We start from the raw sequence: 12,434 nt of genomic DNA on the forward strand, positions 1-12,434 counted from the left end.
TTTTTTTGTGGCTTAATGGTAGATTTCTTGATCCTTTCTCTCCCATTCCCTCTGCTGACTCGGATACAGGCCTTATAGACTAAATGGAAAATTATGGTGGGGAGTGAAGGTCACCTTAAAGTATGTGCCTCATCATTAACAAGCCTTGGGCCAAAAGGGTGAAATTCTAACTCAAAATCTGGAGTCCCAGCTATCTGCATTGCAATCTCAGCATTGCCCCTTCCCAACTACGTGACCCTGGGCTATTTACCTCACATCCTCATCTATGAGATAACTGCAGATTATCATTATGCTACTTCAAAGGGTTGTGTATGGTGAGGGTCAAATTTGATAAGGCATATGAAATGTTTAGCACAGGGCCTAGCACAGTTCACACTAAATAAGTGATCGTTGCTGTTAATTTTAATACTAATACAACTATTACTAGTAGTAGTAGTAGTGTTAGTGTTAAAATCTTCAGGGCATCTTAAGGCTGGGGAGACCCACGTTTACTAATAACTAGAATTTTGGCTGCCCAAGAAAATGCTGATATGAACCATCACACATTTTGCCTACAGGACGCCAAGAGAAATTACAAAGCCACTGTAAAACCACATGCCAGTCACATGGGCAATCAACACCAATAGGAGGGGTGAGGCTGCCAAAGCTTGAGTTCAGTTTTCACTTTCTAACTAGTGGCGGTGGTGGTATTAGGGGGCAGTGTGAGATAGAGAGTTGTGTGAAGTGGTATAAATAGAATACGTCTTTTCATAAATCCTGGGCAACCACATGCTATAATGAATGACAGAATAAAAAGGAGCCACACAGGGAGGTGGGGGAGTTGTCTTCCCAAACACATCAACATAAAGCACTTTCCACACATTTCAGCACCCGGTGAGATCTTTACGTGCTGGGAACTCCACATACTTTGTGTGTCATGAGACAAGAGTAAAGATAGGACTTTTATAGGCTTTGGCTTCCTGAGTATTTATAATGTTGTACCAATTAGGCGGCTGAGAACCCAAAATCATGAAAGAGTCCACCTAAGAATCGGTGCCCTGGAACAGCCTGCAGAAAAGCTTGTTCCAAATGCCACAAGCAGGAAGGTATTGTGCAGTCCAACTTTTAAACACATAAGGCTACCTACAGTTTCCATGTGTGACTTTACCAAACTGGGTTCATGCCATGCATGCTACTAGAGGTCTTTTCTACTTGAAAATGTATCTTGGAGAATGGGATGGTTAATTTGATGTGTCAAGCTGACTGGACTAAGGGATGCCCAGATAGCTGGTAAAACATTATATGTGGGTGTGACCATGAGGCACTACTAACACTACGCTCATTTCTAGATGAGATTAGCAGTTGAATCAGTAGACTGAGTAAAGATCCCTCTCACCAACATGAGTGGGCATCATCTATCCATTAAGGGCCCAAATAGAACAAAAAAGGCAGGAAAAGGGAGAATCTACTCTCTGTTTGAGCTGGGAAATCCATCTTTTCCTGCCTTCACACTTCGTCCTGGTTCTCAAGCTTTTGGACTTGGACTTTGGACTGAATTACACCACTGGCTTTCCTGATTCTCCAGCTTGTAAGTGGCATACTGTGGTACTTCTTGGCCTCCATGACTGCATGAGCCAATTCCAATTCTATTGGTCCTGTTTCTCTGGAGGACCCGACTAATACAGAGAGTCTTGCATATCAATAAGTGTAAAGAATCTTCTTATTTTAGATCTACAGAGGGATCTATTGTAGGATGCAAACATTTTTTGCCTAAATGTAAGTCATTACCTACTGTTTCATTCTGGATGAGGCTAAATTATGTTGCAGTAACAACTCCAAAACCCTAGTGGTTTACCATAGTCAAGGGTAGGCACCCATCTCAGGTTGTGCTATTTTGCCTACTTGCTCTCCAGAAAGATTATGTCAATCTATAATCCCAATGATGATGCAGGAAGCCTCACACTCCTATGCTTTAGGAAAGACCAGCAAGAGTGGGTCAATAAAAAGCAAGGCCCTGGCAGAGCCATTTGGTTGATGTCCCCTCCTCTGTTCCTCAGCCTCATGTCATATCTTCTTCCCATCCACAGAATCTTAGACATTCTTTAAAGAATGCCTCTTTGCAGACACTGGCTTTCTTGTTAATTATTCTGTGTCATGTTGGTTCCAAACTCATGGGCTTATGAGGGATGATTCCCAGACAAAATGCAAGCTCTTCAACTCCATCCCCCCGCACCATGCAAATATGTGCCTCTTGTAGCCAGCAAGACTTTTATTTTCATAACTTAGTCATTAGCTCTGTGCAAAACTATGAGTGGAGAAGATGAAGAGGAAGAAGCGGGAGGAAAAGATGACAAAGAGAACATTCTTCAGAAATCACCTCCTTTCATTCTGAAGTTTTAATCATCCCTGATGACTTTTATCTTAAAAAAAAAAATACTGCCTCAGAACAGATGTTCCCAGCCTCATTTGACCTGCACATGGCCATGGGATAAGACAAAATGCAGGGTCTAGGCTACTGAAGAGCCATAAGGAAATCATTTTACCAACAGATAGCATCTGTCCACATCAGTGCTTGGGATGCCCCAGCAACAGTGACATTCTCCAGGAACATACAGACATAGACTTGTGTTTTCCAGTGGTCGTGGCAACTGATGTTCCTCTGCTGTGTTTCTTCCAACTGCTGCCAAAGCTCCTCTGACTGGGGCTGGTAGGAATCTCACGACTACAGCTGACCCTCACTTTCCCTTGTAATGGCCTTCACGTCCCCTGTAATCAGAGTACATGGGTTTGAACCCCAATTTATTAGGGGCCAAGGAGCGTAGACGGAAAGAAACTAGGGCTCCAACCTCAGCTCCTCTGCTTCTTAATGGTGAACTCAGTGAGTTATTCTTCCTGAATTACACTCTAAAAATGATGGGTGACAGAAGCTCTCCTGCTGAGATGTTATACAAATTAAATGAAGTTATAATGTAAAGCTCACTTAAGATGTGATATTCTGAATGTACCTGACACAGAGCATAGCATTGAACAATTTTTAATTATCTCAATGTCTTACTGTGTCCACTGTCTCTACTCTAAGCCTGGCATATCACTTCACCCCAAAACAAATATAATTGACTCCTACAGGCTTCCCCTCTTGCCTCTTGAATTCCACACTGCACACCCAGTGGAGACATCTGTCATGCATTCATTCATTCGGTTTTATTCTATGGGAGCCCATCTAGCCTATTAACTGGCATCTGGAAGGTCTAGCTTAGTGTCCTAGACCCCTGAGTTATCCAATGTGTAACCTTGGGGAAGTTACTGAGACCCATCAGCCTCAGTTTCCTCATCTGTAAAACAGGAATAATAAGATCTACCCTATGAGAAAGTGATTTTAAAATCTAAGTTTGCATAAAATCTATATAGGAAGCTGTTTAAATGAAGATTCTTGGGCCCTGCACATTCAGCAAGATCTGGGGAGTGCCCAGATAACTTTATTTGTAATCAACCCTCCATGTGACTTACCTGTCATACTTTGAGAAGCCTGCTATGAAGATGGAATTGGATTTTTTCCTGTCAAGGGAAAACTACAGTGCCTAGCACATAGTAGGTACTTTACTAGTAAATGTAGCATTCTACAGATCTTTGGACCAATCAAAACTGCTTTACTATGTTCTAGGCACTGTGGTAGATGCTAGGACACATCGGTGACCCAGAGAGATGCAGTTCTGCCATGGAGTCTAGGAGGGCAAGCAGACAAGTATCAGAATACTTGAACAAGTATCCTAAGTACTATGAACAAAGAAACACACGGTACTCTAAATCACTGGGAAAATGATTCCGACTTTATACTTCCCCCGAAAAGCCCCCATCACTCCCACTCTCAACCTTAAGACCCACTTCCTGATCCACGCAGGCAGTGGTGTGCTAGAGCCAGCGCATACCAGCTAGGAAAGGCTGATTGTTTAATATTCAAGAATTTTGTGAGCTGAGTGACTTCCTGTTGTTAACTTGCAATTACCCATATTGGGAATCTTTACACCACAGAAATCCACAAACGCTGCAAATCAGAGTTCTCTTTCCAACTCCAAGAGCCAGTTATTAAACATGTGTTAGCACCCCACAGCATATAGGTTATCTTGCCACCCCTTCCCTGTTCTTTGCCTTTTTCCCACAATATTTGTACTGGTTTGAACTCTACTCACACCTCCAAATCCAAAACTGTCTTGGAACCACTCAGATGAAATCTCATGCCATGTTTAGATTCTTTCCCTGGGAGAGTGGTTGAATGCCAGGTCACCAGTCCCACTGGCAAGGATGCTCATCTTCATAATGAATTCCACCTGCTGGGCACACCCACTGCCTCTTGGTGGATAAAGGAGGGAAATTTCCCCTCAAGTAAAAATGACATCTTCTGGAATTTTTCTCATCTCTCTGAAGTCAACTGCCTAACTCCCTCCACCACTGCATTGGTCTCTTGGGTCATGATGGCAGAACAAGCTGTTTCTAACAGTCCCTTCAACAGGGGTGATATCACCAGCCAGGTATGTCCCTGAACCCTGGGAGGGAGGAATGGTCAGCTTTGGTAGCCCCTGCATGAGGTCTTCTAATCAGATCACTGGTTGGCCCCACTATGGGAAATTCTTTTCTCTTGTACAGAACATTCTCTCCTTCCCAGATTCCCTCTGATAAAAACTCAAAAGGAGACATGCCAGGCCAGAGAATTTAAACAGAAGGGCCTTAGACAATTTATCTCACACTTCAGCAACTTTGCAGTTTATATTTGTAAACCTCACTTATTTACTTGTCCTGTTTTTGTTAAAGTAAACTCATTTGGAGTCACCACATAAAAGGGTTTTGTTTACATGGCCTCTGCCTTCAGTTTAGATTCCTGGTTTAGTCTATTAAAATGAGCCTGATCTTATTCTCCCAAAGAATAAGGAAACTCTAAATAAAGTTTTGAGTCTTCCAGACATAGATACCAGCCCTAAGATTTTGTACCAAATGCTCAGAGTGTGGCAAGAGAAGGGTGGGGAGGCAAATAAGGAATTTGTGAGAGGCCCAGAACTGGAGTCTTTAGAAATCAGTCTTGACTGGGCTCTGGAGGTTAGGATTTGGGGCTTGTCAAAGCTTTCTGGCCCAGAAACAATGACAGGCTTCCTTCAGGATGGAGCTGTGAGTTTGTGACTTGTGTTCTTTCAGTGGGGTCAAAGGAGGGTTCTCAGAATCTCACTTCCTCCCTGTTACCTAATATTCAACACCCCCCAGAGTCAGTGCTTCATCACATGCTTGCTGGAGAGGGTCTTAATCCTACGCAAAGGTCAAAAGAAGGCTGATTGGCATTCTATCACTTGCTCCTACCTCCCTTGGGGGTGTGTGTGAGTGTGAGAGAATGTGTGTGTGAGAGAGAGAGAGAGTACGTTTGTGTGTGTGTGTGTGTCTGTGTCTGTGTGAGAGTGTGTGTGTGCAGGATGTCTCTCTGGAGCCTCAGGGGCAGAGATCACTGCCATGGGAATTGCCATTTACATGAATGGGCAACTGGAGATAACTGGTTTATTTTTCTCCTCTCCCTCTGGCTTTATTCATTGGTCTGGGTGATGAGAAGATAAGCCACCTCTTAGGGAAAGAGTTAAACAGAAGAGACTCAAGAGCCATGAGAACTTGCTGATGAGTCTTTCTTCAAGCTTTGAGACTCCTTCTGTGGAATCTTTGGGGCACCTTCTCCCAAACACCATTTTTTCTGCTTTTCACATGGCTAAGTGCAACTCACGGGTAAGGACCTCTGTGCAGAGGAGCTTGGGAAAGGGACTGCTCTGTAAGCAGCCCCTTGTTGGGGACGGGGGAAGAGTTCATGGACAACAATCAATAGGGGAACTTAAGAAAGTATGATGATCTATTTTATGGAGCATTATATGACAGTTAAAAAGAATCAGACCCATCTGAGTATACTGAAAGAGAAAGGTCTCTGGGACATACAGTTCATTTCAAAAGAATACATGCAACACAATGTCATTTATATTACAAACAAGAACAGACTCAAATTCCAAGGGCATTGTGCTGAGTGGAAAAAAACAAGCTTAAAAGATCAAATATTGTATGATTTCATTTATGTAACATTCTCAAAACGACAAAACTATAAAGATAGAGAACAGATTAGTGGTTGGTTGGGTGAGAGAGTTGTGGAATGGAGAGAAGAGTATAAAGGGATAGGTGATGGAATAATCTGTTGATGGAATAATCCTGTATCCTGATTGTGGTGGTGGTTATACAAGTCTACATATGTGATAAAATGGCATAGAACTATATACCCACATTTTACCAATGTAACTCCCGGTTTTGATATTGTATAGTTACATAAGATGTAATCACTGGGGGAAACTGGGTGAAGGGTACAAGGGATCTCGTTCTACTATTTTTGCAACTTCTTGTGAATCTGTAAATATTTCACAATAAAAGGTAAAAGTCCCAAAACAATGCCATATATTTCTATAGATATATTTGTAAGTAAATGAAAACAAAATAAAAACTGAAAAGATGTACACCACACCAATTGCTGTGATCATGTTGTCATTAGGAGAGTATTTGGAATTAAGGGCTGGTCAAAGGGTGCTTAGCCTTATCTGTAATGAGAGATACTTTTTCAACAGAAATGCATTTGAGTATTTTCTGCATAGTTAACAGAAAGTACTATTAACTTTGTAGAGTCAGCCAGAATCAACAAACATTGACTGATCATTTACTATGCGCTAAACACTGGGGCTGGAGTAGTGAAAAGCCAGCTGCAGTCCCTGTCCTCATGGAAGGATGCCCCAAGCTATGCAAACAGCCATTAAGCAGATGGTCACACCTGTGATGGTTGCCAGGCCCAAGAAGCATCATGAGCTGTGAAAACGTGGAGCAGGGAACCTAGAATTTATTTCTGTGCCTCCACAGCCAGCCTGTTCCCAGCAGCTACTCACTCAGTCACTCATCAAATGTTTGCTGTGCCTTGTTGGACCACCCTGAGGAGGTGGAGATGAATGAAAGAGCTTCCTGCCTCAATTAACAGAGAGCACATTTAAGAGATTGACCATTTATCAGTCTAGGCAATGCATCTGCCTTGGGGTGAGACTTCTAAAAGATGAGGGAAGCAGGCTGAACCTCTAGGACCTGGGAGAATGATGACAAGGCAGTCATGTGCTGGAGCCAGCCAAAAAGACTCACAAGAGCCCATTGTGGGCTCCTCTGGAATTCTGTGAATCAAGTATTAAACATAGTCATTATTAAAAATTAACTTTTGGCCGGGCACGGTGGCTCACGCCTGTAATCCCAGCACTTTGGGAGGCCGAGGCGGGCGGATCACGAGGTCAGCAGATCGAGACCATCCTGGCTAACACGGTGAAACCCCGTCTCTACTAAAAATACAAAAAATTAGCCAGGCGAGGTGGCAGGCGCCTGTAGTCCCAGCTACTCGGGAGGCTGAGGCAGGAGAATGGCGTGAACCCCAGGGGGCGGAGCCTGCAGTGAGCCGAGATTGCGCCACTGCACTCCAGCCTGGGCGACAGCGAGACTCTGTCTCAACAACAACAACAACAAAAAATTAACTTTTATATATATACTTAAATAACTTATATTAAATACAAAGATAAATGCTAAAGAGCCATCCCTTTCTAAGTATTTTACTACATTTTGCTGTTACCTATATTCTTGAGGTTATTTACATCTTTAGCATCTGTACAGTGAAAAGACTTATAATAGTGGGCTACTGTGTAGCTCTACCCAACTCCAAGTTCAATGGTGTCATGCTAGTAGCTTGAAACTAATCATGGTGGGAGCATTTACGCCACAGATACTAGCAAATGCCAGGAGTCTTTACCCCACCCCCAAAAAGTTAGTTGTTAAACACTTGGCCAGATCCCTATTGCCTTCTTGGACCCAGGGTACATTCTGTGGAGGGTATCTTGAGTCCGAACTGTTGAAATATTCATGTACGTTTCGGATCTTCTCCTTTAGTGCTGAGCACTGGGCCAGGAACACAGCAATTGTTCAAGAGCTCATTAATGGGCAGGAAAGAAAAAAGCCAGACACCAGATATTCCCCTCATTCTTTCTAGTGGCTTCAAATAATACCTTGTGTTCCTCTTGCAGGTAATATCCTTTTGCCCTTCATCTTTCTTTTCCCTGGTGGCAGGATGCAGACATAAATTCTTTAGGACCCTAAGACAGATCTCTTGAAACTTGATGCAGATGTTACCAACCATGGCTTGCTGGCCATGTCTTGAGCAGGGACTCCCACCTGAGCCAGCTGGTGACACCCAGGGTTTGCACCCTAGCACGGATGACTCCCAGTTATGACTTTATCTCAGCTTCTGCCACAGATCCCCCCTCTCTCAGCTACTCTGCTTCTCCTTTTGTAAACCCACTGCCCAGTCCTTGGCATGTAGGACAGATGCTCCCTTCTCCTGCTCACAGATCTCTCTTCTGCCAGCTTCCCAGGATCCCTGCATCTCCACTGTTTAACCTCTTTAAGTTAATACAATATTTTTCAAACTTTATTTAATTATTCTATGGTGGCCCACACAAAACTGACAAGGACTGAGTTGGTGTAACTAAAATGAGACTTGAGCACATGGGCTGTTTACATAGACTCTACCATGTGAATAGAACCATGGAGTTGTGTGACTCAGAGGTTCTTAACTTGGGTGTCTGGGCTCTACAGCATCCTTCCCATCCTGCTTCCACACCCTGTCCTGTGTTCCCACCTCTCAGAGCCTTCAAGGAGGATTCCCCGGAGTTCAATGTGGAAAGCATCCTTCTTTTTGACTGCTCAGCATCCATTTCCCACCTCCTAGATTCTGATTGTTCTTGGGGAAACTACCTTGCATTCTCTTTCAATTTCCTTTGATTTAATGTGAGCAGACTCCCAACCAAGGCTCTAGGAGTGGGATAATCAGAGCCAATAAGAAATTCAACTCCAAACCTTGTGGGAGAATTGTTGAAAAGAGTCATTGTTTCCACAGGAATTGCAAGGGGAGCTGTGGGCTTGACAATGCTGGCAGCCATTGCAACTGAGGATGGAATTAACATGGAACACAACAGAGCTGGACGTCTGAGCCCTAAGGACGGCTTTTGGGATCTCAAATCCAGCTATGCCTGAAGACCTAAAGCTAGAAGCTCCTGTGCTTTTCAGTTACAGCCAGTAAATCCTCTTTTTTGGCTTAAGCCAGTTTGAATTGGGTTTCTACACAGCCTGAAACTGCTATGAAGTCAAAGGTAGTGTTAGTGCTGGAAGACACTGCATGGATAACCTCCTCAAGGGGCCACTTCACTTTCACCACCAAATGCCCCTTTTCACCGATCCTTGTCTACTGCTACCTTGTTTGATAGATTATGTCTACCAAAAATAAACAAAACCCGCATTGAGAATCAAGAAAGGCATTATTCCCAATTTTCCTGAACACAATGGTAGCACCTATCATTTATATGGCTCTATATGGTACATGCAGCAGAGTTAGAGGTTTAAAATCATACACTTTGAGGGAGGCAGACTTAGATGTGATTCCCGCCTGCCTCCCCCTCCCCATGGTGGGTGACTTTAGGCATGAAACATAACCTCTCTAAAACTCATTTTTCTTAACTTTAAGATGAGATGTATTACCCACCTCATAGGGCTATCATATGGAATAATTAAGAGATGGGATGTAACATACAACATGATTCAAGACCCTGTAGGTGTTAATTAGCATTAAAATCGTCATTATTATCATGTCTAATCTTCCAAATAATCCTGCAAATTGATATTGTTATTCTCACCTTACAGGGAAGAAAATTGAGCGTCAGGGAGGTTACAGGATTTGTTTGGCTTATGATGGAGCCAAGAATGGAACCCAGATCTCCTTGTATTGTTAGTCCATGCTTCTTCCCCATACTCAGTGTCCCAAATACACACACACACACACACACACACACACACACACACAAACACACACAATTAAAGTACTCAAAAAGCAGCATCAAGTTTATGCGTATCATATGTAATCTCCAAGTATTAGTTGAGTACTTACCAGGTTCCAAGCATTATTATGGGAACTGGATAATGCTTTATAATTAGGCTATTATTTCTAATTAGCCTATTTGGCTTTAGCATGAACAACAACAATTTCTGATAGAGTTGTAGAAAAATATGTTAAATAGCTCCAAGGAACTGCTGTCAAACATGAGGGCCTCAGCACACACACATTTACGTCCATGCCCCCCTTTCCAATGGTACTCTTCTAAAATGGCAATCAAGGACATAAAAAAGGAGCAGTAAGTCTGCAGGACCATGAGAACAAGGTCTCTGACTGCAGCAAACAAGAGATGTCAATAAAATTGAATGACATGAGCTTGAAGACTGAAAGAGCCCACCAAGTGTCCAATACAATGAATGAAAAAAGATTCTCCCTAAAATAAAGAGAAGGTCCTAAAAACTGCCAGAGAGAGAGAGAGAGAGAGAGCAAAAAAAAAATAGCTCATGTAACAAAGGAGAGGGAGACAGAATGGCAAATACTAATAGATTCTCAGTGGATGTTTTACCAAAACTAGGAAGTAAAACCAGGAAAAAGAAGCTTAAGAAACTCTCTGAGCCCCAGTCTCATTCATCATCAGTAAAGTGATGATAAAGGGGTAGAGTGTGGATTAAAGGAAATTATGAAGTAGCAAGTGATGTGGCAAGTGTTCAGCAATGCACTGAATGGGGAGTTTCTCTAAGTACTGATTAAAGCCCATCTTGCCCAGGACATAGCTTCCAAAGTGGTCTGTTCTCCCTTGGGAGGGGCCCAGGACTCCAAGTAAAAACCAGAACAGCTAAGAAATCTTGATAGTAGAGCTCCAAAGTTTCCAGTACCACCCTCCCACGGATGGTACCAGACCTGGGGTGGGGCCCAGGTGGAAAATTCAATTGTGCAATCCAGCCTCATTCCTCAGATGTCTCAGCTTCAGGGGGAGGTTAAAAGGAGGGCCTGTTAGGGCTCTTAAGGTTCTTGGAAGCCATTCCTCACAAATATGGGTTGAGATGGTCATTGAGAGGCTTTTAAACTAGGCATGGCCATCAGCAACTTGTCCCCCTTACTGACCAAAACCCCTGCCCTCCCAATGACGCCACATCAACTAATGTAATCAATTCTTGACTTCAATATTGTCAATACATCTCTGCCTAAAGTAATACAGACACCACAAATGGCTGGTCCATGCCAGCCTCTCCCTCTCCCATCCCACCTTCCACACTTTACACCAGTTTTTATACCAAAAATTCAAAATCTGATCTTATCATCTCATGCTTAGGAACCTTCTATGGCTCCTCATTTCAAAAGGCAATAAAATCCCACTGCCCACCCTGGCATTTGTGTCTCATACACACCTCCTAACATCCTCCACTCCACTTCACACTGGACTCCCCACTTCTCACAAAGCACCCCCTACCCATGCCCATCTCCAAAGCTTTGCCTGAGCTGTTTGCTCTGCCTGGAAGGCCTTTTCCTCCTTTTCCAGGACTCAGTTCCTACCTCTCCTCCTGTGCTTTGAGTGTTCACCCATTACACTTCCTCTGAGTCCAGTCTTTAAGTGAGTTAATTGTGAATGGAATGCCTCTCTCCAAGGAGACTAAGAGAAAAGAGTGACCGCTGAGTATATAAGCTTGAATTCTTCAGAACACTCTGCACAGAGGTGAACATTGAACACCAGTCCCAGGGACGAGTGATAAGTCAGTACTGTGCAACTTATGAGGATAAATTCCTGAGCACTTTGCTACCCTTCCCTTTGCCTTCAGGGGCTTGGTGAGTTCTTCATTCATCAAGGTCACTGGCAGGGAAGATGCTCTAATATTAAACATGCATTCATCTGCACTTCAGTCACATTTCCCATTTTTAGTTAAAACTTTGTCCTGTTCATTTTTTTTCCAGTAGAAAAATGAAAAGCATCCTGCCTCAAATTAATAAATCAGGAGCACCAGCGAGCAAAAGGAAGGAAAATTTGAGGAATGAGAAGGTCCTTGAACACAGTGTGGGTGGCCCCTTATTTCTTTTAAATTGGAAGTAGCTTTGTTGATAAACATGAACATACACCACACCATTGCCATCATCTCCAGCTTGTTCCCTGCTGTAGAACAAGTGGTTGGCATTTAGCAGCATTAACAGTGGCCACCACTACCTTCTCACCCACCTGCAAGAAATGTGATGTTCACACTATTTGAATCCAATTAGTTTTAGCTGACATACCTCTTTCTACCTCCTGTTCCTGCCTTCTGGAAACTGCAAAGTGAAATGGTGACTACCTGGACTGAGGCATAAATGAATTGGTACCTGCTTTGTGAGTCCTCTTTTACAGACAACCATCATTATTAATTCCTCCCTAAATAAAAATACCATTAATAATACATGCAAAACAATCATCATGGAATCCCAATGCAAAGAGGCATCTGGAAGACCCATTCGAGAGCAAAGATTAAGAAATGCAATA

General features: G+C 43.0%; 1 long non-coding RNA gene across 2 annotated transcripts in view; it reads right to left on the minus strand.

Moving 5' to 3' along the window:
• Nucleotides 1-11,581, minus strand: part of LOC124906243 (uncharacterized) — a 207,146-nt gene extending 195,565 nt beyond the window's left edge. For both annotated transcript variants that reach the window (XR_007095917.1, XR_007095916.1), the window contains exon 1: nt 11,483-11,581. This is a non-coding gene — a long non-coding RNA (uncharacterized LOC124906243). The remainder of the gene's footprint in view (nt 1-11,482) is intronic.
• Nucleotides 11,582-12,434: the final 853 nt, after the last annotated feature.

The sequence above is a fragment of the Homo sapiens genome, chromosome 3 (genome assembly GCF_000001405.40).
Source record: "Homo sapiens chromosome 3, GRCh38.p14 Primary Assembly".
Lineage (NCBI taxonomy): Eukaryota > Metazoa > Chordata > Mammalia > Primates > Hominidae > Homo > Homo sapiens.